This window comes from Homo sapiens, chromosome 19 (genome assembly GCF_000001405.40).
Source record: "Homo sapiens chromosome 19, GRCh38.p14 Primary Assembly".
NCBI lineage: Eukaryota > Metazoa > Chordata > Mammalia > Primates > Hominidae > Homo > Homo sapiens.
The window spans coordinates 6701700-6729135 of NC_000019.10; the positions used below are offsets into that span (position 1 = coordinate 6701700).

Sequence of the window (27436 nt, forward strand, 5' to 3'; positions counted from 1 at the left end):
CTTTCAGTAGAGACGGGGTTTCACCACGTTGACCAGGCTGGTCTTGAACTCCTGACCTGAAGTGATTCCCCTGCCTCAGCCTCCCAAAGTGCTGGGATTATAGGTGTGAGCCATCGAGGCTGGCCCTGTCTCTTTAAATAAGCATTGCTACTACTATTTTTCCAGGGGGACCAGCCCAGAGCTGTTTCTTCCTTCAATAAACTCTGCTACTTAACCCTTGCTATGTGACTCTTGGCTGAATTCTTTCTTCCAAGTTAGACAGGAACTAAGGATTCCCACAGTTCCTGGTAACAACACCTCTGTGGTAACCAGGGCAGAGAATAAAGTGCCAAGAAACATAGGGTTGATTGAGTTTGGATAAAATGAGATGACACTCAGACACCCTGGGGTCCCTGCCTCCCGGGGACCAGCCAGCATCCTCTCTCACCTTTCTTGTCCGACATGCTCACAGCCAGAATCTCCCACGTGGTGATGGAGTCTTTCAAAAATATATTCATGAGCTTCGTAGAGATTCTGGATGGAGAAGAGGTTGGGGTATTAGGAGATGTCATCTAGCAGGGTGGTAGAGGGGAAGAACTGGTGCAGAGGGACCCCAAGGGACAGGCTGGAAGGGTCTGGGGGTGCCTCCATGTAGGTCACCCAATTCCTGATTTTTCTAGGTTGGGCTGTGGGGTTGCACTGTGATTCCAGAGAAGACCAGAGATAGCAGGTGCATGCAAATTAAACGGTCTGACTCTGGGGTGGGTTGTACCGGGGGTACCCCGGCCTTACCCATTTTTCGGTGGCTCTTTCAAGTCCTCAACGTTCCACAGCCAGCTCTCTGGGAACTCACTTCGGGAAACGATGTTCTCTTCTGCAATGATGTCCTCATCCAGGTTACCTGCAGGGGGTTTAGATCTGCATTTAGAACAGAGCAGGCCAGTTGCCATGGCTCATGCCTGAAATCCCAGCACTTAGGGAGGCCAAGGCAGGTGGATCACTTGAGGCCAGGAGTTGGAGACCAGCCTAGCTAACATGGTGAAACCCATCTCTACTAAAAATACAAAAATTAAGGCTGGGCACGGTGGCTCACCCCTGTAATCCCAGCACTTTGGGAGGCTGAGGTGGGTGGATCGCTTGAGGTCAGGACTTTGAGACCAGCCTGGACAACATGGTGAAACCCCATCTCTACTAAAAACACAAAAATTAGCTGGGTGTGGTGGCGCGTGCCTGTGATCCCAGCTACTGTGGAGGCTGAGGCAGCAGAATCACTTGAACCCAGGAGGTGGAGGTTGCAGTGAGCTGAGATCACACGACTACACTCCAGCCCAGGCGACAGAGACAGACTCCATCTGAAAACAAAAACAAAAAACAAACAAAAAGAGAGCCGACCTACTTCCTCAGCGGTCACACCTTTAGATCCTACCTCTGCCCAGGAGGGATTCCTAGCAGTGAAATACATCCCGGACATGGAGGACTTCAGGATGAATTTTCACGAGCCCCAGACACATCTGCCTTGGGAACTTCTTCTCCATAAAAAGAACTAAAAATTATATCCCACAAATGTACTGGTATAAGGACATATACAATGCAGACTGGATTATAGTCATTCCTTTCCCTTTGATTTTTAAAGAAACGAAAGCATTTGGCCAGGCACAGTGGCTCACATCTGTAATTCCAGCACTTTGGGAGGCCGAGGCGGGTGGATCACTTGAGGTCAGGAGTTCGAGACAGCCTGGCCAATGTGGCAAAACCGCGCCTCTACTAAAAATATGAAAATTAGCCAGGCTTGGCAGCGGGCACCTGTAGTCCCAGATACTCGGGAGGCTGAGGCAGGAGAATCGCTTGAACCCGGGAGGCAGAGGTTGTAGTGAGCCAAGATTATGCCACTGCACTCCAGCCTCGGTGACGGAGTGAGACTCCATCTCAAAAAAAGATAATAATAAAAGAAAGCAAGCATGTGCATGTGGCTCTAAAGGATCACCGTCCCGAGAAACCGTGTCTGCTTCCTCTGAGGGATTTGTCCATTCTGAACATGACTAGGTGAGCTGAGAACATTCCCAGACCTGGTGCAGAACACTGAAGAAGCGGTGGCCTTTAAAAACCACCTAATACAAAAATTAGCTGGGTGTGATGGCATGCGCCTGTAATCCCAGCTACTCGGGAGGCTGAGGGATGAGAATCTCTTGAATCCAGGAGGCGGAGGTTACAGTGAGCCGAGACTGCGCAACTGCACTCCAGCCTGGCGACAGAGCGAGACTCCCTCTCAAACAAACAAACAAACAAACAAAAAACAAAGAAAAAAACACAAAAAAAATCTCGATAGGCTGGATGTGGTGCTATCATCCCAGCGCTCTGAGAGGCCAAGGTGGGAGGATGGCTTGAGCCCAGGAGTTTGAGACCAGCCTGGGCAACACACTGAGACCCTCTCTCTACAAATAATAATTTAAAAATTAGCTGGGCATGCTGGCATGCACCTGTAGTCCTAGCTACTCAGAAGGCTGAGGATGAGACAGAAGGACTCCTTGAGCCCAAGAGGTTGACGCTGCAGTGAGCTGTGATCGCACCACTGCACTCCAGCCTGGGCGAAAGAGCAAGATCCTGCCTCTAAATAAATATATAAATAAACAAAAACAGCTTGACACTACCAGCAAGTAAATGAAATTGGACTGGACTAGGCTTTGACTCAAACTGCACTTTCCTCAAACATGATAGACAGGCTTTAATTGGGTTCTGGATCTCCATAACAACAAAGTAGCTGGAATCCCTTAAAAAATATATATATTTTAATATTTTTCAGCCAGGCACAGTGGCTCATGCCTGTAATCCCAATACTTTGGGAGGCGGAGGCGGGCAGATCCCCGAAGGTTGGGAGTTCGACACCAGCCTGGCCAACACGGTGAAACCTCTTTTCTACTAAAAATACAAAAATTAGCTGGGTGTGGTGGCAGGTGCCTGTAATCCCAGCTACTTGGGAGGCTGAGGCAGGAGAATCACTTGAACACGGGAGGCGGAGGTTGTAGTGAGCCAAGATTGCACCACTGTACTGCAGCCTGTGTGACAGAGCGAGACTCCATCTCAAAAAAACAAATAATAATAATCTCAGCTACTCAGGAGGCTGAGGCAGGAGAATCGCTTGAACCCATGAGGTGGAGGTTGCGGTGAGCCGAGGTTGTGCCACTGTACTTCAGCCTGGGTGACAGAGCAAGATTCCATCTCAAAAAAAAAAAAAAAAGTTTTCGTCCGTACAAAGTCTCACTACGCTGCCCAGACTGCTCTCAAACTCCAGAGCTCAAGCGATCCCGCTGCCTCAGCCTCCCAAAGTGCTGGGATCACAGGTGTGAGCCACTAAGCCCAGCCCAAAGTAGATGGAATTCCTAAAAGAGATACCTGAATTTACTCACACTCTGGAATAATCAATCCAAGTGTCTTGGGATAGTAACATTTAGCCATTCTTTTTCTGACCCCCAATGGGCCAAAGGAATTACACAATTCTGGAGAAAAGTACAGCCCACCATCCATGTGGATGTAAACCATATTTCAGTAGACCAGACTTTTTGTCTAATTTTCCCAGTGACCCTCACACTATCGCCTCTTTGTGAAGGAGATCATTCTAAATTTGCTTGAATTTTTTCTTTTCATTTTCTTTTCTTTTCTCTCTCTTTTTTTTTTTTTCTTTTTTGAGACAGGGTCTTGCTCTGTTGCCCAGGCTGGAGTGCGGTGGTGTGATTTTGGCTCATTGACGCCTCCATCTCCTGGGTTCAAACGATCCTCCCACCTCAGCCTCCTGAGTAGCTGGGACTACAGGTGTGCACCCCCACACCCGGCTAATTATTTTATTTTATTTTTGTAGATATGGGGTTCTGCCATGTTGCCCAGGCTGGTCTCAAATTTCTGGACTCAAGCAATCCACCCTTCTCGGCCTCGCAAAGTGTGGGCATTACAGGTGTGAGCCACCGTGCCCGGCCAATTTTCTTTTTCCTTTCTTTTTTTGTTTTGTTTTGTTTTGTTTTTGAGACGGAGTCTTGCTCTGTTGCCCAGGCTGGAGTGCAGTGGCACAATCTCAGCTCACTGCAACCTAAACCTACCAGGTTCAAGCGATTCTCCCACCTCAGCCTCCTGAGTAGCTGGGATTACAGGCGCCTGCCAGCTCGCCAGGCTATTTTTGCATTTTTAGTAGAGACGGGGTTTCACCATGTTGGCCAGACTAGTCTTGAACTCCTGACCTCAAGTGATCCATCCACCTCGGCCTCCCAAAGTGCTGCGATTGCCGGTGTGAGCCACCATGCCCGGCCAATTTTCTCTTATTATAAGATAAATTTCTCTTTGTTTCACTTAAGACTTATTTCACGTGAGATCTAAAGTCTCACCTGATTCAAAAACTGAATGCATGCATGAATGAAGAAGGGCTGCCTGTTCACTCATCGAGTTTGGCAGGTCTTTCTGGAATGCCACACAAATTAGTTTTCTCTGGTGAAGCCAAACTTGGAACTCACCTTAGCTTTCCCATTGGTAATTAGTGTGTGACCAGCCCCATCATCTTTCTAGACTTTTCCCTCAGACCTCCAATGTCCTGGGCACTGGTGATGTCCAATTCAGACTGATGGGTGGGGCTGGGATGACCTTCCCAGGCAGGAAACTGCTCTGCCTTCAGGCAAGGGCCCTTCTCCCCATCAGACTAGGCCCTTCTCCTCCCTCAGGCCTGGGCCTCCTGGCTCCTCATCTGAAGGCCTCTGTCCCTTCCAGACAGGAGTGTCCCCTCCCCTCGGACGGGAGCCTCCTCCATCTCAGATGGGCATCTACGCTTCTCTGACTTGATCCTCCCCTCTTCAGACCTGGGTCTTCTCTACCTCACGCTGGCAGGGCATCACCTCATCGGCATCACCCTCAGACAGGGGCCTCCTCTCCCAACAGACAGAGGCCTCCTCCTACCCTCTCAGACAGCGGCATCCTCCCCCCTCAGACAGAGGCCTCCTCCCTCCTCAGACAGGGGACTCCTCCCCCCGAGACAGAGGCCTCCTCCTACCCCCTCAGACAGGGGCATCCTCCCCCCTCAGACAGAGGCCTCCTCCCCCCTCAGACAGGTACCTCCTCTCTCCTCAGACAGAGGCCTCCTCCCTCCTCAGACGGGGACCTCCTCCCCCCTCAAGGCCTCCTCCCTCCTCAGACAGGGACCTCCTCCCTCCTCAGACGGAGGTTTCCTCCCTCCTCAGACAGGGGCCTCCTCCCCCCTGAGACAGGGACCTCCTGCCCCCTCAGACAGGGGCCTCCTCCCCCCTCAGACAGCGGCCTCCTCCAGCCCCACCCCCACCAGACAGGGCATCCTCCCTCCTCAGACAGGAGTCTCCTCCCCCATCAGACGGCCCCCTCCCCCTGTCCCCACCCCGTGGGACCTACTCCTGGCCAGGCCCAGGTGGCTGGCCCGCGCGTGCTGCCGCCGCAGCTCTGTGATGTAGTTGCAGCAGTCCAGGAAGACCTTCTTGCACGCCTCGCCCAGGGAGATGAAACGGGTCCGGCGCTGGCACGAGAACCTCATGGGGTTCTCCCGCATGCCGTCCTCGCAGCACTTGCGCAGCTCCTTGGGGTACTTGCCGACTGCGGGAGCACGTGTTCCCCCAGGCCACACCCTCAGCCGGGGGCCGGCAGCAGGAGGGACGCGGGACGGACCCCAGGGAGGACTTCCCCGCCGCCAGGGCCTCCCCTCCTCCCTCTCTGGCTCCTGCACGGCCGGGCTGGGGTCTCCTGGGGTGGGGCTCGGGGGCAGGAGTGGGTAGGAAAGGCTCCCACCTTTGTCCATTCGCTTCTCCGTGAGCTGCACGGAACGGCGTCGGCGGGCGGCTGGCTGCGGGCACTGAAGTTCTGCAGGGCAGGCGGACCGAGAAGAAGATGGATGAGGCACCTACTAGGTGTCCTCGGTTCACCCCTCACGATCGTGTGAGGTGGGGGTGTTCCTGCTCCCATTTGATGGAAGAGCAAACTGAGGCTCAGAGGGGAGGGATTTACTAGGTGGTGGTGGAGGCGGGGCTTGAACCCAGGCCCCCGGTTTCCAGAGCTCTGCTCCCAGCATCTGGGAGGTGGAGGTGCTGTCTGTCCCTGCACCGGCCCCTGGTGGCGACCTCACCTGCCCTCTGGGCGGTCTGCTGGCCACTGCTGCTCGTGAAGGTCAGCCCTGCGTCGGAGAAGACACCGGCGTAATCCTTCCCACTGCCCGGGGTGCAGCCGATGTCTGCCTTCTCCACCACGTCCCAGATCTGCGGGGGGCATAGGGGTGGCGGGACGCAGGGAGGCCAGGCTGACAATTGGGATCCCCCACATATGCACCTGTGTATCTCTTCCCAAATGACCCCACCCTGTCCCACTCTCATCTCCCCCATTCCTGCTTCTGCCCTTCCTTTCTCTTTCTCTTTCCTTCCTTCCTTCTCTCTCCTTCCTTCTCTTTTTCTTTCTCTTTCTCACTCTCTCTCTTTCTTTCTTTCGAGATGGAGTCTTGCTCTGTCACCCAGGCTGGAGTGCAGTGGTGTGATCTCCGCTCACTGTAACCTCCAACTCCCAGGTTCAGGCAATTTTCCTGCCTCAGCCTCCCGAGTATCTGGGACTACAGGTGCATGCCACCATGCCCAGCTAATTTTTATATATTTAGTAGAGACGGGATTTCACCATGTTGGCCAGGCTGGTCTCGAACTCCTGACCTGAAATGATTCGCCTGTCTTGGCCTCCCAAAGTGCTTGGCCTCCCAAAGGGATTACAGGAGTGAGCCACCATGCCCGGCCTTCTTTTTCTTTTCTTTCTGTCTTCTTTCTTTCCCTTCCTTCCTCTCCCTCCCTTCCTCCCTCCATTCCTCCTTTCCTCCTTCCTTTGCTCCCCCTTTCCTTCCCTCCTTCCCTCCTTCCTTCCTTCCTTCTTTCCTTCCTTCATTCTTCACTCCCTCCCTCCCTTCCTCTTTATCTCCTTTCTTTTTCTTTCTCTCTGTTTCTCTCTCTCTTCTTTTTTTTTCCTCCTTTCTTTCCATTCTTTTTTTTTTTTTTTAAGTTGGGATTTTCCACTGTCTCCCAGGCTGGAGTGCAGTGGTGCAGGCATAGCTCACTGCAGCCTCAAATTCCTGGGCTCAAGCAATCCTCGCACCTCTGCCTCCTGAGCAGATGGGACTACAGGCATGCGCCATCATGCCCAGCTATTTTAAAATTTTTTCTGTAGAGATGGGGTCTTGCCATGTTGCCCAAGCTGGTCTGAACTCCTGGCCTCAAGTGATCCTCCCACCTTGACCTCCCAAAGTGCTGGGATTCCAGACGTGAGCCACCGCACCTGGCCTCCATTCCAAATCTTATCTCCATTTCCCCTCTGATTCCATCTGCATTCCCATCCTCACTCCTGATCCCAAGCCAACCCCATCTCCATCTTCGTCCCTACTCCGGAAACCTTCCCCACTGAATGACCCTGGGTGTGCTGCCACCAGCCTCTCAGGGCCCCAGTTGAAAGTGTCCAATTCTCAGCCGGGCGCAGTGGCTCACGCCTGTAATCCCAACACTTTGGGAGGTCGAGGCGGGTGGATCACAAGGCCAAGAGATCGAGACCATCCTGGCCAACATGGTGAAACCCCCGTCTTCACTAAAAATACAAAAATTAGCTGGGCGTGGTGATGGGCACCTGTAGTCCCAGCTACTAGGGAAGCTGAGGCAGGAGAATCGCTTGAACCTGGGAGGCAGAGGTTGCAGTGAGCCGAGATTGTGCCACTGCACTCCAGCCTGGTGACAGAGAGAGACTCTGTCTCAAAAACAAACAAACAAACAGAAAAAAAAGTCCAATTCTCAGGACCATCCCCAATTGGAACCCATGTCCAACCTCATTCCCATCTTCAGCTTCAACCATCCCTGTGTCTGGTCTGCTCCGATCTCTGCTTTCAGCGCATGCCCCCCACTGCACTGCCCTCTCCAGTCCCACCCACCTCCCCCAGCCCCAGCTCCGTGCCTCCGCCTCTTCTCAGCAGCCTTGGGTCACTGGCCCTTACCTTACTCTGCGTCAGTTTGTTCTTCTTATTCAGCACGAACACGCCCTTGTCCACGGCCACCAGTACCACCCGGGCCCCGTGGTCACCCTCTATCTTCAGGGTCATCTGCTGCCCAGGTACAGGCTGCCGGTCTTCTGACTGGCCGCTTTTTACCACCAGCTGTGGGGAGGGTGGAGACGCCGAAAGAAGTCAGCCCTGGGAGAGAGGAGTGCCTGGGATGGAGTGGGTGCTGGGCTAGAGTGGAAAGACAGAAAGGTTGGGGGGAGCCGTGGGGCTGGGGAGGGGGAGAGAGAGGGAGAGAGAGAGAAAGGGAGAGAGGGAGGGAGAGAGAGGGAGAGAGGGCGGGAGAGAGAGAGAAAGGGAGAGACAGGGAGAGAGACGGAGAGACAGGGAGAGAGGGAGAGAGACGGAGAGACAGAGAGAGGGAGAGTGAGGGGGGAGAGAGGGAAAGGGAAAGAGGGAGAGAAAGGGAGAGGGAGAGAGAGGGAAAGAGAGAGGGAGAGAGAGAGGGAAAGAGAGAAGGAGAGAAAGAGGGAGAGAGAAGGAGAGAGAGGGAGAGAGAGAAAGGGAGAGAGAGAGGGAGAGGGAAAGAGAGAGGGAGAGAAAGAGAGGGGAGAGAGAGGGAAAGGGAAAGAGACAGGGAGAGAGAAAAGGAGAGAGAGAGGGAGAGAGAAAAGGAGAGAGATGGAGAGAAAGAGAGATCGAGAGAGGGAGAGAGAGAAGGAAAGAGAAATAAAGAGAGAGGGAAAGAGAGATGTAGAGAGAGGGAAAGAGAGATAAAAAGAGAGACAGTTGAGAGACAGAGAGGGAGGAGAGAAAGGGAGAGGAAGAGAAGAGAGAGAAAGGAGAGAGAAAAGGAGAAAGGGAGAGAGAGAGAGAGAGGAGACAGGGAGAGAGAGAGAGAGAGAGGAGTAGGGAGAGGGAGAGGGGGCGAGCGAGCCCAGGGCACACTTACCGAGCCCACGCAGGAGTCCTTGACGTCCACCCACACGGAGTCGGCCACCACCTCCCTCTGGCCGCTGGCACCGATCAGCGTGTAGTACGCCACCAGGCGGAAGGAAGGGATGAAGTCGGTGGTGATGGACAGGGGCAGCACCACCAGGTCCTGGCCGGGCTCTCGCACCTGGCGTCCCGCCTTCAACAGCCTGCCCTTGTTCATGATCTGGGGGGACAGGCTGGCATCAGGCTGGGGAGGGTGAGTGGCAGGGAACGCAGGGAGGGATCCGGGATGGGGGAAGGAGTCCCAGGGGTGCGGAAGAAACAAGGAGGAGGCGGGGGCTGAGGTTTCCAGGTGGCCACGGACCAGGTAGGTGTAGTAGCGGATCTTGGCCTCGTGGGCGCGGTCCATTCGCAGGAGGAAGTTGACGTTGAGGGTCTCCCCGGGTCTGAGCTCTGTACGTAGCACTGAGAGATGCAGGTAATTGTTGGAGTTGCCCACGGTGCTGTAGGGCAGAGCCTGCATGGTCCTGGTAGCCTGCTCTGCCTCCGAGAGCTCCTGCTTCTTCGTGCGCACCTGGGTGGGGAAAGAGGGATGCCTGCTGGTCGCCGCCCGAGGATACCCACACCCGAATCCCTGAGACCTGGGAATTGGTGGCCTTTCTTAACAAAAGGGGCTTTGCAGATGGGATTAAGTTAGGGATCTGGAGATGGAATCATTATCCTGGATTATGTAGGTGGAGCTAATGTAATCATAAGGGTCTTTATTAAGCAGGGGCAGGGGAGAAAGGAGAGACAGAGACAGAGAGAAAGAGAGACACTGGAAGATGCTATGCTGCTGCCTTTAAAGGTGGAGGAAGGGGCCATGAGCCAGGCCTTTAGGGTGCCCTGGCGACACTGGAAAAAGCAAGGGAGCGAACTTTCCCCCAGAGCCAGGACTTCTGACCTCTCAAACTATAGACCCATAAATGTGTGTTGCTTTAGATCACTAGGCTGTGGCCATTTCTCATGGTAGCCACCGGAAATTCACGCACATGCTGAGCACAGGGAGGGGTAAGTGGGGTGCGCAGCCTGGGAGCTGCAGAGGGACTGGGAGGCCATCTGCAACCTCCGCAGCTGTCATGAGACTTGCTTCCCTCCCAGTGAGGGGCAACAGAGCCACGTGCACAGAAGCCAGGAGAACTGAGACCACCTCACAACAATGGGCCTGTCCCAAACACTACACAACCCTCCTTGTGAGATTCAGGCTCCTTCCCCCATGGGAGTGGAAAGACTGTGCGTGGATGGAGCGCCTCTCCGTGTAAGTGGAAGGAGCAGGGCATGCAAGAGGAAGATTCCTGTTTCCTCAAACTGCGGACCCCTCCATGCAGACGGCAGGACCCCACTGTGCAGGACAGAACCCCTCTAGGCAAATGAGAATGTCTATGCAAATGGCAGGACCCCACTGTGCAGGACAGAACCCCTCTATGCAGATGAGAGTATCTCTATGCAAATGGCAGGACCCCTCTGCGCAGGAGAGAACCTCTCTATGCAGATGAGAATATCTGTATGCAAATGACAGGACCCCACTGTGCAAACACCAGAACCCCTGTACCGTCTTCCCAGTGATGGGGTTCCGAGGCTGGGCCCAGACGCACCGTGATGCTCAAGGGCTTCTGGCTGGGGTGTGTGTTGATGCTGAGTTTGGCCACGCCATCTCCCTGGGTTAGAGACTGCACAGTGTCCTCGCCCTGGACTGCCACGGGGACTCGGTAGGCTGGAGAGCCATCAGGGTTCGTCACGAACACCTGTGATGTGGGGTGCAGGTGGGGGAAGTTCAGGCAGGCTCAGGGCTGTGGCCGGTGTCCCCGAAGGGAGGAGTGGGACCCCTTCCCGCCCCGGGTCTCACCATGAGGTCAAAGGGCATTCCTGGTTTGAAGTACTTGGGTGTCTTGGTGAAGTGGATCTGGTAGGGAGAGGTCACGATGGGGATCCCGCTGCGCTCTGCCTGCACCATGTCACTGCCTGAGGGGACCAGCTGTGAGTGTAGGCTTCTGGGCCACCCCTCAGGATTAGACCTCCTCCCTCAGAATGGACCCCAACTTCAGACTAGACCTCCTCCCTCAGAGTAGAGTCCACTTTCATACTGGGCCTGTGCCCCCCATCAGACTGGACTCCACCTTTATACTGGCCTTGCCTCCTCCATCAGACTGGCACAGACTTCATACTGGGCCTGTGACCCCCATCAGACCGGACCCCACCTTTATACTGGCCCTGCCTCCCCCATCAGACTGGACCCATCTTTATACTGGCCCTGCCTCCCTCATCAGACTGGACACAGACTTCATACTGGGCCTGTGCCCCCATCAGCCCGGACCCCACCTTTATACTGGCCCTGCCTCCCCCCATCAGGCTGGAATCCATCTTCATACTCGGCCTCCCCTCTCAGACTGGGCCTACCCCATCAGACTGAACCCCACTTTCACTCTGAGCCTCCCTCCTTAGACTAGGCTTTCTCTTCTGACCTGGTCTCCCCTCTCAGACCGGCCCACTTGGTGGTCCTGAGCCTGGCCTTCAGACTGGGCCTCACCTGAGTGCAAGATGACGGTGGCAGACACGTACAAAGACTTCCCCACCAGGTCTTCTGCTCGGGGGTTCTGCACCCCGTCCAGCAGTACCTTCCGGCTCAGCACAACCTCCCCCGAGCCATCCTCAATCTGAGAAGGGAGAGGAGGGCTCAGAGAGGGGAGCGGGCTCAGAGGTGGCGGGGACTGGGGCAGGGATCAAAGCGGCCTCCGTCTATGGTACCGGAATGCGCTTGAGGGATTCAGGCAGGGAAATCCTCTGTTCGCCATCCTGGATCCCGAAGATGACAAAGGCAGTTCCCTCCACTTTCTTCCCGTAGAGGAACCTACGGGACAGACAAGGAGGGCTTCAGGTCCATCCCTCCTGGAGAATGGGATCTCCCCCAGCTTCTCCTGCCTGTGCTGAAGACTGGAGCCCCCAACCCACTGCTGGCCTCTCACCTGGCCCCACCTCCAGCCCCTCACCTGGCCCCACCCCCAGCCCCCCACCTTGCCCCACTCCCACCCCCCACATGGTCCCACCTCCAGCCCCTCACCTGGCCCCACCCCCAGCCCCCCACCTTCCCCACTCCCAGCCCCCACCTGACTCCACCCCCCAGCCCCCCACCTGGTCCCACCCCCAGCCCCTCACCTTGCCCCACCCCCAGCCCCCCACCTTCCCCACCCCCAGCCCCCCACCTGACTCCACCCCCAGCCCCCCACCTGGTCCCATCTCCAGCCCCCCACCTGACTCCACCCCCAGTCCCCCACCTGGTCTTCACCTGGTCCCTCACCTGGCTCTTACCTGGCCCCACCCCCAGTCCCTCACCTGGCGGTGATGGTGACCTCCAGGCCCTTCTCGTTATAGATGTAGTAGAATTTCTCTGTAGGCTCCACTATGACCTCGAAACTGGGCAGCACTGGGGGAGAGATGGCGTTGGTGGGGCCGGCGCTGGGCCAGGCGTTCTGGGCACTGACTCCCCCCAGCCCCTCCTCCTCTTACCGTACTCCTTCACCTCAAACTCAGTGGAGAAGACCTGCTGTGGTGAGTTTTCATAGTAGGCTCGGATCTTCCACTGGCCCATGCTGTGAGGAGGGCGGATGAGTGGTCTCTCAGGCCTCGGAGCCCCCCTGCTCCCTCTCCGGGGATAGGGGAGCCCTGAGCCCCCTCCTCAAGAACCTGACATACTTGACGAGTTCCGGAATGTCCCAAGACAAGGGCAAGACGCCAAGCTGGTTCTGAGAAGACAAGGAGTCCTGCTTGACCGGGATGCCTTCCGGGTTCTGTGGGAGGCAGGAGGGAAGGATAGAGGATAAAGTGGCTCTTCGGAGGCTGGGCTTAGCCTCTCAGCTCTCCCCGACCTGTGTCTGGACATTCTCTGTGCACAGTGTCTACTGTGGTTAAGAACAGGGACCCAGGTGGGCGCAGCGGCTCACGCCTGTCATCCCAGCACTCTGGGAGGCTGAGGCGGGCAGATCACCTGAGGTCAGGAGTTCAAGACCAGCCTGGCCAACGTGATGAAACCCTGTCTCTACTAAAAATACAAAAATTAGCCAGGCATGGTGGTAGGCACCCGTAATCCCAGCTACTCAGGAGGCTGAGGCGGGAGAATCGCTTGAACCCGGGAGGCGGAGATTGCAGAGAGCCAAGATCACTCCACTGCACTCCAGCCTGGGAGACAGAGTGAGAGTCTGTCTCGAAAAAAAGAACAAGGACCGGAGTCAGTCAACCTTAGGTTTCAATCTCTACTGTGCCACTTACAAGCTGTGTGACCCTGGGCAAGTTACCTAACCTCTCTGTGCTCAATGTGCAAATCTTGAAACAGGAGATTATAATGGCACCTACTGTGTTGGCTTGGGACATAGTTCATATGAGTAGGGGCTCATTTTTTCAGTGTCTCTCTGAATACTAATAACTAGTAGTGTCATTTCATTTGCTGCCAACATTTAAACATCATGAGACATCATTGCACCACTGCACTCCAGTCTGGGTGAAAGAGCGAGACCCCATCTCAAAAAATAATGTATTAGGGCGAGCGCAATGGCTCAAGCCTGTAATCCCAGCACTTTGAGAGGCAGAAGTGGGAAGATTGCTCAAGGTCAAGGGTTCAAGACCAGCCTGGGAAATGTAGGGAGACTCCATCTCTACAAAAATTTTTTAAAATTAGCTGGATGTGGTGGCGCACGTCTGTGGTCCCAGCTACCCAGGAGGCTGAGACAGGAGGACAGCTTGGGCCCAGGAGGTCAATGCTGCAGTGAGCTGTGATTGTGCCACTGCACTCTAGCCTGGGCAACAGAATGAGACCCTGTCTCAAAAATAATAATAATGAATGAATGAATGAATAAATAAGTTTAAAAGAAATTGTACAGAGGTAACAGGGATCAGGCAAGTGGCATATCTGAAGGCCGTGAGCTGGCTTTAGGAATTAAAACATATAAAAATCTGTTTTTTTTTTGTTTTTTTTGTTTTTTTTTTTGAGACGGAGTCTTGCTCTGTCGCCCAGGCTGGAGTGTAATGGCGAGATCTCGGCTCACTGCAGGCTCCGCCTCCCGGGTTCACACCATTCTCCTGCCTCAGCCTCTCGAGTAGCTGGGACTACAGGTGCCCGCCACCACGCCCAGCTAATTTTTTTTTTGTACTTTTAATAAAGACGGGGTTTCACCGTGTTAGCCAGGATGGTCTCGATCTCCTGACCTCGTGATCTGCCCGCCTCCACCTCCCAAAGTGCTGGGATTATAGGAGTGAGCCACTGCACCTGGCCAAAAATCTGTTTTTCTAGCTTCTGTTGGAAACAAGGAAATTTCTGTGGATAGTGTACTCTGGTTAGCAGGAGACATCTAATTGGAGCTGGGCAACTGTTGTGCCTTTACAAGAGATGTGTGGTCTCTGTTCCCCACAGACCACATCAATCCCTAAATCTAGATAATTTTTACATTTTTTTTGTAGAGATGTAGTCTCCCTAGCTTTCCCAGGCTGGTCTTGAACTCTTGGCCTCGAGCAGTCTTCCCACCTCTGCCTCCCGAAATGTTGGAATTACAGGCTTGAGCCATTGCATTTGCCCCAATTATTTTTTGAGACAGGGTCTCACTCTGCCACCCAGGCTGGAGTGCAGTGGTGCGATCACGGCTCACTGCAGCCTGGAATTCCTGGGCTCAAGTGATCCTCCTGCCTCAGCCTCCTGGGGTAGCTGCAACCACAAGCAAGCACCACCACACACAGCTGTTTTTTTGTTTGTTTTTAACTTTTCTTTTTTGTAGAGACAGGGTCTGGCTGTGTTGCCCAGGCTGGTCTTGGACTCTTGGGCTCAAGCGATCCTCCCGCCTTGGCCTCCCAAACAGCTGGGATTACAAGTGTGAGCCACTGCACCTAGCCTTGTATGATTTCAACACATCCTCATGATAATTCTATGAGAACACCCTCCTTCCCCTTCTCTCCTCCCATCCTTCTCGCTTCTTCCAGTAAGTTTTTTATTAAACCCAACTATATACCAGCATTGTGCTGAGTTCAGGTGACAAAACCCTCAACAAACATAACAATTCCTTCCTGGAGGGATTTAGGTTCAATAGAGGGCGAGGCGATGGGAGAAGCAATTATCAAATGAATAAATCTCATTTGCAGGACATGGCAGGAAGGAGGAGTGTGTGTAGCGGGGAGGGGGGACGCTCAGGGTGGGTATTTGCGACTTTATAGGTTACTCAGAGAGACCTCATTGTAAAATTGAGACATTGGTGACATTTGAGCAAAGACTTAAAGGAGGAGAGAGAACAAGCTGTGTGGATATTTGGAAGAAGAGGGTTTTCTTGAGAAGAGGGCACAGCCCGTGCCAAGGCGCCAAGGCAGGACTGCACCTGGGTGTTGGAGGAACAGGGAGGATGGCCCGTGTGGCTCCAGAAGAGTGAACGAGGGGGAGAGAGGGAGGAGGGGAGGGCAGGGAAGGGACAGGGCAAGGTGTGCAGGGCCTTGTGGACTGCAGGGAGGACTTGGGCTTTGACGCATAGGAAGGTGGGAGCCATGGAGGGCTGTAGGCAGAGCAGGGATGGGCCCTGACTCAGGTGCTCACAGGCGTCCTCTGGCTGCCGTCGGTAGAATAGATGACATACAATTATCCGTCATGATCCCGATATTCAGATAAGGTAACTGAGGCTCAGGGAGGTGAAGTGATCAGGGGTTTAACTGAAAGCAGAATCCACGGACACCTGCACTGCTCCCTGGGGTCTCCCTGGATCTCCACCTTGTCTCTCAGCCTGTGTGTGTGTGTGTGTGTGTGTGCGCGCCATATGGTGTATTGTGTGGTTGTGTGTTGGGTTGTGTGTTGTGTGTGCTATGTTTGTGTGCACTGTGTTGTGTGGTCGTGTATGTTGTGTGGTTGTGTGTTGTGTGGTTGTGTATGTTGTGTGTGTGTTGTGTTTTGTGTGTGTTGTGTGTGTTGTGTGTTGTGTGTGTTTGTGTGTGTTGTGTGATAGTGTTGTGTGGTTGTGTGTTGTGTGTGGTGTGGTTATGTATGTTGTGTTGTGTTGTGTGTGTTTTGTGTGTATTGCGTGGTTGTGTATGTTGTGTATTGTGTTGTGTGTGTTGTGTGTTGTGTGTGTGGTCATGCACGTTGTGCTGTGTGTATTGTGTTGTGTGTTGTGTTGTGTGTGTTGTGTGGTCGTGTATGTTGTGTGTTTGTGTGTGTTGCATTGTGTGTGTGCATTGTGTGTGCACATGTGTCTGCATATCTCTTTGCCTCTGTGTGTGTATTGTGTGCTGTGTGTGTGCATGTTGTGTGCTGTATGTGTGTGTGTTGTGTGGGTGTGTGTCTGCATATCTCTTTGCCTCTGTGTCTCTGCCACTGCACCCCTTCCGGTGTGTCTTTCTCTGTCTCTCTCGATCTCTTTGCCTCTCCTAAGCCTGTGCCCCTGCTTCCCCTGGGGCCCCCTCTGGCTGGCACCTCAATGTTGACCATGACCGTCCGGCCCACGGGTAGCAGCTTGTGGTTGACGGTGAAGATCCGATAGAGAACTGGGGAGAGACAAAGAGGCCTCGTGAGACCCTAGCCCGCCCACGCCGGTGCCCCGCCCTCTCCAGCCGCCCCCAGCCTCACCTGTGGAGCCAGGGGTGTAGATGGTCTTGTCTGTCTGGATGAAGAGGTACCCGCTCTGCAGGCTGACCAGCACCACCTTCTCCACCACTTGGGTCCCGAAGGTGGCCTGCACGGTCACGAACTTGTTGCGCCCCTTTTCTGACTTGAACTCCCTGTTGGCTGGGATCTAGGCGTGGGCAGGGCATTGTCAGGGGTCTGTTCCAAGGCCCCATGCCCACGGTCCAGCTTCCGGATCTTGGGCTGGGTCCCTCCTTGCCTGCCCATTATTCTTGGTCTTCCGAGGTGGCCGTTTTGGGGAGGGAGGGGCATGTGAAGGAGGTGCGAGGGGAGAGGGGGGACCAGGGAGGGAACTCAAAAAGAAGAGCTCACAAGGAGGAGAGAGCTTATAGGAGGAGGGGCTCAGAAGGGGCGGGGACTCAGAAAGGGAAGGGGCTGACATGGGAGGGGCTCAGAAAGGGGGAGGGACTCAGGTGAGGGAACTTAGAAAGTGATGGAGACTAAGAGGGGAGGAGTTCAGAAGAGGAGACTTCGAGGGGGAGGGGCTTGGAAAAGGAATTCAGTGGGAGGGACTTAGAGGGGGAGGAGACTCAGAAGGGGTGGAGTCTCAGAGAAGGGGAGGAACCTCAGAAGGGGTGGGGTCTCAGGGAAGGGAGGGACTCAGAAGGGGAGGAGTCTCAGAAGGGGTGGGGTCTCAGGGAAGGTCAGGGCTTAGAAGGGGAGGAGATTCAGAAGGGGTGGGGGGGGGTCTCAGAAAAGGGAGGGGCTTATAAGGGGAGGAGACTCAGAAGGGGTGGAGTCTCAGAGAAGGGAGGGGCTTAGAAGGAGAGGCGACTCCGAAGGGGTGGAGTCTCAGGGAAGGGCAGGGCTTAGAAAGGGAGAAGACAGAAGGGGAGGGGCTCAGGAGGAGGGGGGGAGTGGGCGTGGCTGTGGGTGTCAGCCGGGTCCTGCGCCAGTCTGCACTCACCGTGAAGGTGACGTTGCCCATGTGGTTGGTGGCAGGGGTCAGCACAGTCTTCTCACTGGACAGCACTAGTTTTTTGCCTGGGAAGTCGTGGACAGTAACAGTGACTGGAACATCCCCTTGCGCGTCGTGGGCCTCCAGCACCATGGTCTCCTCGCTCTCCAGCCGCAAGATGTTGGGGGTGATGATAGAGTACCTGTCGGAGTGGGGCACGGGAGTGGGCTTGTCATTCCACGGATGTGAGACGCCAGTCCTCACTGGAGTCAGCGCCTGGCAGGCTGTGTGCCCCAGCCTCTGGTCCTGGAGAGGATCCAGTGACTGCCGGCGCACTTGCCAATGCCATTATCTTCTCTGGGCACTGCCACCGTCTCAACCACATGGGCAGGACAGCAGCCACCATGACTCCCACTCTCAGCCAGCTGGGCCTGGCCTTTGAAAGCCTGGGCAACGAGGGGGCCACACATCCCACCAAACCCTGAACCTTCCAACCAGCGTCAGCAACTCCTCCAAGTCTCTGGACTTCCAGACCCACAATCGCCTAAACCCACACATGCCCCAAACCCTAAACCTCTACCTCTCTAAACACTCCAAATATGTAAACACTCAAACTCCCGGACACCCTCAACTCTACCTACCCAAACCCACATACGCCAAAACCTCTAAACCTCAAATCTTAGAGCACCCCAAACCCAGCCTAAACCTCCAACACCCCAGTCCTAATAAATACAATCAATTCCAAATGCCCCAACTATACATGAACCCGAAGTAGCCAATCTTTAAACCCACACTGAAAATTGCAAGTCCCCAAGCTGCAAACTCCCAAATCTTGTAAAGTCCAAACCTCCGAGTCTCCAAACACCCCCAACCGCACCATCAATGAACACCACATACACCCTAAACCAACAGATGACCTCAATTCTAGAAACATCCCAAACTCCAATTCCACCATACCTGGATTCCACAAACACCCAACCCATAAACACCCAAACTCTCAGGCAGCCCAAATGTATATAAACTCCAATTCCACGATACCTGGATTCCACAAACACCCAACCACAAACACCCAAACTCACAGGCAGCCCAAATGTATATAAACTCCAATTCCATGATACCTGGATTCCACAAACACCCAACCACAAACACCCAAACTCACAGGCAGCCCAAATATATATAATCATTCCCAACCTGCTAACCCCTGAATCCACAAACACCCAAATGCACCCTGAATTCTACAGGGACCTGGACCCCCAAATGTCTGCTTCCACCCCAGAACCAGCCCTGTTTGTGGGTAGAGTCATAACCACTCACATGGGACTCCCCAGAGCCAGGGGGAGGTGGGTTAGTAGCAGGAGCAGCAGGCTGGGACCTGAGGTGGGTCCCATGGTGCTGGGACAGTGCAGGGTCAGAGGGACAGAGGGACAGAGGGAGAGGATGGGGAGGAGTGAGCAGCGCCTGCTGGAGCTGGCTTTTTATCTGGCTCCTGCCTTTCCCCCACTCAGCCCCCCCTTCTCCCCATGGCCTCTCCCCTTTTGGGGCTGCCCCAGATTTCTCAATACCATTTCCTAAGCTTTTCAGTCCCTGGGGCCAACATGTCCATGGGGTGAGTAACCTGAGGGCATGTTCCCCAGCAGCATGAATGCAGCTGCACCCTGCCCTGGACTCTCCCAGGGTCAGGGCCACCTGGTGAACACAGACCTTTCTCTGTTGGACCCACTTTGTAGTGGAAGAACACTAAGGTCTGGAGAACCCCCCACCGCAGATGTCTTGGACCTCATCCCCAGTTCACTTTTGGCCATGCGTTTATCAGTCGAACACTTCCTAGGAATCTCTCTGTAGGCTGGGAGTCAGAGCCCCACTTCCAGAGGCTTCCATGCTGAGGGAGGGGAAGTAGAATGGGGGAGGGACAGAGCCCAGCACAGAAACTCCCAGTTTCATGAAATGTTTTCTAGCTCATGTGCAGGGCAGGGAAAAAAAAGAAGAAGAAGAAATGTTTTCCCCAGTGAAATAGAACTCTGCTTCTTGGAGGGTCAGGGAAAACTTCCTGTAGGAGGGGACATTTCAGATGGGCTTTGAGGTATGTGCAGGAGTTCACTATCCAAGTGAGTTTATTTTCCAAGGAGGCTCCCCTCACTTACCCTTGTCAGGATGCCTGAGTGACTTTGGTGGTGAAAAAAGTCATCACTGAGGAAAGTCCTCATTTCTAGAGCTTTTGTACCTGTCTAATGTCAATATCCTCTTAGGATATTAAATTGTATTGTTTGTGTGTGTGTGTGTGTCTGTGTGTGTGTCTGTGTGTATAATATATTCATATTGATCAACATCTAAAAGGTACAAATGTGTATAGCAGTAAAGGTGGTCTTCCTCCCATCCCTGTTGACAGCATATTCTTTTTGTGTTTTCCTTTAAAAAAATTTTTTTTTCATTCTGTCACTCAGGCTAAATTGCAGTGGTGCAATCACAGCTCACTGCAGCCTCAACCTCCTGGGGTCAAGTGATCATCCTGGCTCAACCACCCAAGTAGCCGGGACTACGGGTGGCCGCCACCATGCCCGGATAATTTTTTTATTTTTGTGGAGATGGGGGTCCCACGATGTTGCCCAGTCCAGTCTTGAACTCCTGGGCTCAAGTGATCCTCCCGCAGCAGCCTCACAAAGTGCTGGTGTGAACTACTGTGCCCTGTGGACAGCACATAGCACATACTATTCTTCCTGGTCTCTTCAGTTAAATCTTGGGTTTCGTTTTGTTTCGTTTTTTCATGAACAATATACCTCAGAGGCTATTTCACCTCAGTGAGCAAAGAACTGCCTCATTCTTACAGGTTACAGGCCTCTTGTTATATTGTGAGAAAGTAACCAGCCTCCTACTTTTTGGGGGATATTTTGTTTGTTTGAGTGTTTTTTTTTTAGAGTCTTGCCCTGTCACCCAGGCTGGAGGGCAGTGGCGCTATCTCAGCTCACTGCACCCTCCACCTCCTGGGTTCAAACAATTCTCCTGCCTCAGCCTCCGGAATGGCTGAAATTATAGGTGAGCACCACCACGTCTGGCAATTTTTGTATTTTTAGTGGACAAGGGGTTTCACCATGTTGGCCAGGCTGGTCTTGAACTCCTGACTTCAAGTGACCCACCTACCTTGGCCTCCCAAAGTGTTGGAATTACAGGCGTGAGCCGCTGTGTCCAGCCACCAGCCTCTTCTTGATGGAGAGACTGACATCTGTGGCTTCACACCAGGCTCTCTGCAGTGAATAAGCTTGAACCTGCGTTATTTTCTAGCTCTGAAACTAGCTGTGATCTTTGGGTAAGCTACTGATTACCGCCCTGAGCCTCAGTTTGTTCATGGAAAAGGAAACCCTTACCACCTGCTTCATAGAGTTGTCGTTGCAATGAAAGGAAATATGTTGGGTCAATCTCTGAATGCACTGGTAATCTTGCTAGATATTGCCAAATTCCCCTGCACAGAAGTTGTATTGATTTACACACTTATGAGCCCTGCATGAAATGAATTGTCAGTTTCTTCCACAGCCTCATCACAAGGGCATGTTGATGAACTTGAAGATTTTTGCCAGCCTTATGGGTGAAAACTGGTACCCTGGTGTCATTTTTTTTGTTTTGTTTTGTTTTTTTAAATGGAGTCTTGTGCTGTCACCCAGGGTGGAGTGCAGTGGCGCCATCTCAGCTCACTGCAACCTCTGCCTCCTGGGTTCAAGTGATTCTCCTGCCTCAGCCTCCCAAAGAGCTGGGATCACAGGCATGCGCCACTACACCTGGCTAATTTTTTTTTTCTTTTATTTTTTATTTTTTGTATTTTTAGTAGAGAAAGGGTTTCGCCATGTTGGCCAGGCTGGTCTCAAACTCCTGACCTCAGGTGATCCGCCCACCTCGGCCTCCCAGAGTGCTGGGATTATAGAAGTGAGCCACCACACCCCGGCAGCCGGTGTCATTTTAACTGGCATTCCTCTGACGTTCTGCAGCATTGCTGCCCAGGCATACGAGGTGGATGGTGAGGGCAGGAGAAGGGTCTGTGGGTGGGGCCCCCTTATCCCTGGAGAGGCGGTTTCTGAAACCCCACTGAAGGGGTTAATGGGGAGTTTTCTCTGATTTCCTGTAAACCACATTCTTTTCCGTGCCAGGGGTAGGGGGAGGCGTGGAGCATGAGAACAAACCTGGCGTCTGTCTGCACTGATTGCGACACACTCTTTGGAAGAGGAGGAGGAGGAGGAGAGAGAATGAAAATACCTGCTTGCTCTCCAGAATTGGGGTTCAGCTTTTGAAACTGCATCCCCTTGCCAGGCGCAGTGGCTCACGTCTGTAATCCCAGCACTTTGGGAGGCCGAGGCAGGCAGATCACTTGAGGCCAGGAGTTGGAGACCAGCCTGGCCAACATGGTGAAACCCCGTCTTTACTGAAAGTACAAAAATTAGCCAGGCGTGGTGGTGGGTGCCTGTAATCCCAGCTACTCAGGAGGCTGAGGCAGGAGAATCGCTTGAAGCCGGGAGGCAGAGGTTGCAGTGAGCTGAGATTGCACCACTGCACTCCAGCCTGGGTGACAGAGAGAGACCCTGTTGCCAAAAAAAAAAAAAAAAATTAAAAAAAGGAAAGAAACTGGATCTCCCAATTGCCCCATTCCATCTTCTATCCCCCACTTTCTCCTCAAGCCACCCCATTTCCTGGTTTCATTCTAGACTCAAGCATTCGGCACTGTGGTTTGACAACCTTGAGAAGGAATTCCTGTCTGGCCTCTGTCTAGCGGCAAGCCTGGGTTCCTCTTTTCTCTGAGCCTCGGTTAATCCAACTAAACAATGCGACTGAAGATAGTTCTGGTTGTTGTGACAATTAAAGAAACCAGGATGCCTAGAAGCCACCAGGCTCAGAGGGGCCAGGTGTGGTGGCTCACGCCTGTCATCCCAGCACTTTGGGAGGCTGAGGCTGGGGGATCGCTGGAGGTCGGGGGTTCGAGACCAGCCTGGCTAACATGGTGAAACCCTGTTTCTACTAAAAAATACAAAAATTAGCTGGCTAGGCATGGTGGCTCACACCTGTCATCCCAGCACTTTGGAAGGCCGAGATGGGTGGATCACCTGAGGTCAGGAGTTCAAGACCAGCCTGGCCAACATGGTGAAACCCCATCTCTACTAAAAATACAAAAATTAACTAGGATTGGTGGCGGGCACCTGTAATCCCAGCTACTGGGGAGGCCGAGGCAGGAGAATTACTTGAACCTGGGAGGCGGAGGTTGCAGTGAGCCAAGATCGTGCCACTGCACTCTAGCCTGGGCGACAAGAGCGAGACTCTGTCTCAAAACAAAACAAAACAAACAACAACAACAAAGAATTAGCTGAGCATGGTGGCAGGTGCCTATAATCCCAGCTACTCGGGAGGCTGAAGCAGGAGAATCACTTGAACCTGGAAAGGGTCTGGCCCTACCCTGACCTCCAAGAAGTGACCAGAGGGGAGGGGCAGGATGAGAAGTGAGGGGGTTGGAGGCTGGAGCAGATGGTAGCCTACTGGGAGGGAAGGAGGGAGGGAGATGAGACCGGGAATTCTTCAGAACCTCGTGACTTTTTTCTGGGAGATGTGCATTGGTGTCCAGAGGTTTGGGAGGGGGATAGTGCACAAGGATGAGCCAGCAGGGGAGGGAGAGAAGGAGGTCTGGGTGTGTGTTGGGGTACTTTCCATTTTGAGGCCCACCCAGCCCAGCATTCCCGGAATCAAGGAGGGAGAGTGTGGCCAACCGGGCTGACCATTCGTGGGTTATCTGGAAGCTACATATACTGAAAAAGTAGTTGTTATTTATCTGAAATTCAAATGTAACTGAGCGTCCTGTATTCTGTTTGGCAATCCTAGCTGGGGTGCAAGGGGAAAATGAGAAGGGGCCAGGGTGCGGTGGCTCGTGCTTGTAATCCCAGCACTTTCGGGAGGCCGAGGTGAGAGCATTGTTTGAGTCCAGGAGTTCGAGACCAGCCTGAGAAATACAGTGAGACTTCGTCTCTACAATTGAAAAAAAAAAAAAAATTAGCAGGGCATGGTGGCGTGCCTGCAGTCCCAGCTCCTCGGGAGGCTGAGGCAGGAGGAGTTAGAGGCTGCACTGAGCTATGACTGCACCACTGCCCCCCAGCCTGAATGACAGAGCAAGACAGGAAAAAGAAAGAAAATAAGAGGAAGGAAGTGGGAATGATTTCTGGGTGGGGGACCCAGATGCCCCCGGCTCACACCTGCCTGAGTTCACTCACTGTCCCCTATATCCCATCCCTCCCCTTCCCCAACAAAGGGGCAGCCAGGCCTGGGAGCAGCTGGGAAACCCCTATCCCATCGTCTAATTCCAGGCTGAGGTGGCTGCTTTCCTAGAATTTTTCTCCAGAACCCACAGCAAGGCCATCCCCTTCTTCCACCCTATTACTGATTAATTCAAGTTAACCTTGACCTGACTGACTGAATCAATCTATCTGCCTGGCAACAATGGCTCTTTCCCTCCTCTCCCTCTGGTACACTCAGCAGAAACAAGCTGGGGCCCTATAGACTCCCGCCCTGGGAAAATGGAGAGCAGTGGGTTTTGATTCCAGCTCTGCAGGGCCCCTGGGAAGGTCCAACCCCTCCTCCCAGCCTCGGTTCCTAATCTATCAACTGGAGATGCACAGCCTACAGCCTCCTTTCTAGTCTTGGAGTGGAAGTCCCAAGTGGCACCCAGGAAACAATCCTTAACCCAGCGCCCTGCGCATACTGAGCGCTCAGTACACTTGAACTGTACTTTTTGTTTTTGTTTTTTGAGACAGAGTCTCGCTGTTGTCGGCCTGGGCTGGAGTGCAATGGCACGATCTTGGCTCACTGCAACCTCCGCTGCCCGGTTCCAGCAATTCTCCTGCCTCAGCCTCCCAAGTAGCTGAGATTACAGGCGCCCGCCACCGCACCTGGCTAATTCTTATATTTTTAGTAGAGACAGGGTTTCACCATGTTGGCCAGGCTGATCTCGAACTCCTGATGAACTGTATTTTTATTTTTGCAAATACCCGTGTCTTCTACCCCAGCCTTGCTTGGGTGACGGCCCCACCAGGCTTCCAGGCTGGACTCCTTCCTTCCTCTCATTCCCAGAATTCACCTGCTGGCCAAGCCCCTGCCTGGAATCTCCCAGCTTATCCTCCCTCTCCACACCTGTGATCTCTGCCCTCACCTCTGCCCCAGCCTCCTCCTTACCAGCCCATTTACTCTGCAGCAGCTGGGGACGCTTTACTTTTATTTATTTAATTTATTTTTCTAAATTTTATTTATTTATTTATTTGTGAGACGGAGTCTTGCTCTGTCGCCCAGGCTGGAGTGCAATGGTGCGATCTTGGCTCACTGCAAACTCCGCCTCCTGAGTTCAAACAATTCTCCTGCCTCAGCCTCCCAAGTAGCTGGGATGACAGGCACCAGCCACCACGCCCGGCTAATTTTTTGTATTTTTAGTAGAGACGGGGTTTCACCATGTTGGCCAGGCTGGTCTCGAACTCCTGACCTCAAATGATCTGCCCATCTGGGCCTTCCAAAGTGCTGGGATTACAGGCGTGAGCCACCGCGCCCAGCCTTATTTTACTCTTTTAAAAGCAGGGTATGGCCCTGTCGCCCAGGCTGGAGTGCAGTGGTGCCATCATAGCCCACTCTGGCCTCAAACTACTGGGCTCAAGCAATCCTCCCACCTCAGCCTCCTGAGTAGCTGGGACTACAAGGTGCATGTCACCATGCCTGGCTTGGGGACTCCTTCCTTTCTAAAATCCACCTTTGGGCCAGGCGTGGTGGCTCATGCCTATAATCCCAGCACTTTGGGAGGCCGAGATGGGTGGATCACTTGTGGCCAGGATTTTGAGACCAGCCTGGCCAACAGGGTGAAACCCCGTCTCTACTAAAAATACAAAATTAGCCGGGCGTGGTGGCACATGCCTGTAATCCCAGCTACTCGGGAGGCTGAGGTGGGAGAATCACTTGAACCCAGGAGGTGGAGGTTGCAGTGAGCCGAGATCGCACTATTGCACTTCAGCCTGGGCGACAGGGCGAGACTGTCTCAGACAACAACAACAACAACAAATACCCTACCTTTGTATTCCTTTGACCGATCATGAGCGCACTGACGCTCACAAACGCCTATGAGATGCGGGTGGCAGCAACTTATCTATTTCACGTATTTTAACCCTTGTTTATGCCACATGCCATAGGTTCTATCATTGCCCCATTTTACAGATGAAGAAACAGAGGCTTTGGCTGCTTGCCCGAGATCCTGTGGCTGGTAAGTGCCGGAATCTGAACTCAGAGAGCTGGGCCCTATAGAGTACGTGCCCTTAAACTGCATGAGTTCTTAACTGCTGCAGCAAAAGATGACTGCAAACTCGGTGCGTTAAAACAACATGTTTCTTATCTTACAGTTCTGGAGGTCAGACGTCTAAAATCAAGGTGTCAACAGGACTGTGTTCCCTTCTGGAGGAAACAGATGAACCCATTTCCTCGCCTTTTTCAGTGTCTAGGAGCCGCCTGCATTCCTTGGCTCGTGGCCCCTTTCTTGGAATCACTGCAGTCTCTGCCTTTGTCACTGAGTCTCCTTAACTCTGACCCTCCCACCTCCCTCTTATAAAGACCCCTGTGACGATATTGGGCATATCCAGATAATCCAAGATAATCTCCCCCATTTTAAGAGCCTTAATCCCATGCACAAAGTCCCTTTTGCCGTGTGACAGAACATATCATATCCACAGGTCTTGAGGATTCAGACGTGCACACCTTTTTTTTTTTTTTTTTTTTTTGAGACAGGTCTCTCGCTCTGTCACCAAGGCTGGAGTACAGTGGTGCAATCTCAGCTTACTACAACCTCCACCTCCTGGGTTCAAGTGATTCTCCTGCCTCAGCCTCCCGAGTAGCTGGAATTACAGGTGCCCACCACCATGCCCAGCTAATTTTTTATTTTTAGTAGAGATGGGGTTTCGCCATGTTGGCCAGGCTGGTCTTGAACTCCTGACAAGTGATCCGTCTGCCTCGGTCTCCCAAAGTGCTGGGATGACAGGTGTGAGCCACCACACAGGCTGGACGTGCCCATCTTTGAGGGGACCATGACTCAGCCGACTGCAGCATGCACATGCAGTCTCTCTGGCCATGCTCCTCCCTGCTTTAAATTCCTCCATGGCTCCTGTGGACCCCTGGATGAAGCCCCATGTGCCTGCCTGTCTTTAGGCCTCTGCCAGCTTCTCTCGCCCTCCTCCTGCCCCCTCCAGCCTCGCGGGCCATCCCAGCCTTCCCCGCCGTGTTCATGTAACTTCCCCAGTCTGCAATGCCTCCCACTTCCTTCTTTGTCTGACCAGGCTATTTATTCATCTGGGCCCCAGCTATATTTGTTTCTGCTTACAGGAAGCCTTCACCCCAGCCCTGTTCCCTGCCGCTGTCCCATGCTTGTGTCTCCAGCGAGGAAGGCTTCTCCGAGCTCCAAAAGGCATTCTGGATGCTCTAGTTGAAGGGCAGGTGGGTGGGGGGTGGAGACCCATCTTGGGAACCTGCCCTTAAGTGTGCACACAAGCAGATCTCCAATTCCTCAGTCGCCCCTCAAGATTCAGGGCTGGTTCCCTAGAAATCAGGTCGAGGCTGTGCAGCTGGGTGCTGTGCCTGCTATTGTATGTGATACTCAACAAACTTAGGAGGCCCCATGTTATATGCAAGGAAACAGAGAGAGTAAGCCAGTGATCCAGGGTCACACAGCAAATGGCAACAGGCTGAGAGATTTGGTCCCAGGGAGTCTAGCTATGGAGCAGCAATGCATATAGTCAGTGTCTGGCTTTGAGCCGGGAGTCTCCCACTCACTCATGAGCTGTGTGACCTCAAGGAGGTTTCTTACCCTCTCTGTGCCTCACAGGCTTTTTAACAAATTAAAATCCACAGAAGCCTTAATAGACAGCGTGGCGTAGCAATCACTCTGTGTTAC

At 53.3% G+C, this 27436-nt stretch overlaps 1 protein-coding gene across 1 annotated transcript in view, besides 3 other annotated features; it reads right to left on the minus strand.

Annotated features, from left to right (window-relative positions):
- C3 (complement C3) overlaps positions 1-18951 on the minus strand; it is a 42947-nt gene extending 23996 nt beyond the window's left edge. Inside the window, exons 1-19 of the mRNA NM_000064.4 lie at positions 18817-18951; positions 17512-17704; positions 16548-16713; positions 16395-16465; positions 12653-12747; positions 12467-12549; positions 12293-12383; positions 11708-11810; positions 11490-11616; positions 10809-10924; positions 10558-10707; positions 9288-9497; positions 8940-9146; positions 7985-8143; positions 6101-6230; positions 5767-5838; positions 5377-5574; positions 772-880; positions 428-513 (exon numbers count right to left, since the gene is read on the minus strand). Of these exons, the coding sequence (NP_000055.2) occupies positions 428-513; positions 772-880; positions 5377-5574; positions 5767-5838; positions 6101-6230; positions 7985-8143; positions 8940-9146; positions 9288-9497; positions 10558-10707; positions 10809-10924; positions 11490-11616; positions 11708-11810; positions 12293-12383; positions 12467-12549; positions 12653-12747; positions 16395-16465; positions 16548-16713; positions 17512-17704; positions 18817-18890 (2440 nt within the window). The 5' untranslated portion in view covers positions 18891-18951. The remainder of the gene's footprint in view (positions 1-427; positions 514-771; positions 881-5376; positions 5575-5766; positions 5839-6100; positions 6231-7984; positions 8144-8939; positions 9147-9287; positions 9498-10557; positions 10708-10808; positions 10925-11489; positions 11617-11707; positions 11811-12292; positions 12384-12466; positions 12550-12652; positions 12748-16394; positions 16466-16547; positions 16714-17511; positions 17705-18816) is intronic.
- Positions 20164-20243: an enhancer, noted in NCBI's record as "active region_13859". NCBI's record gives its function as "activates an Ori minimal core promoter by ATAC-STARR-seq in GM12878 lymphoblastoid cells {active_cell/tissue: GM12878}" and the evidence as "EXISTENCE:reporter gene assay evidence [ECO:0000049][PMID:35858748]".
- Positions 26183-26684: an enhancer, noted in NCBI's record as "H3K4me1 hESC enhancer chr19:6727893-6728394 (GRCh37/hg19 assembly coordinates)". NCBI's record gives its function as "activates a minimal SCP1, AML or CMV promoter by ChIP-STARR-seq in naive H9 embryonic stem cells {active_cell/tissue: H9 hESC(naive)}" and the evidence as "EXISTENCE:reporter gene assay evidence [ECO:0000049][PMID:30033119]".
- Positions 26685-27184: an enhancer, noted in NCBI's record as "H3K4me1 hESC enhancer chr19:6728395-6728894 (GRCh37/hg19 assembly coordinates)". NCBI's record gives its function as "activates a minimal SCP1, AML or CMV promoter by ChIP-STARR-seq in naive H9 embryonic stem cells {active_cell/tissue: H9 hESC(naive)}" and the evidence as "EXISTENCE:reporter gene assay evidence [ECO:0000049][PMID:30033119]".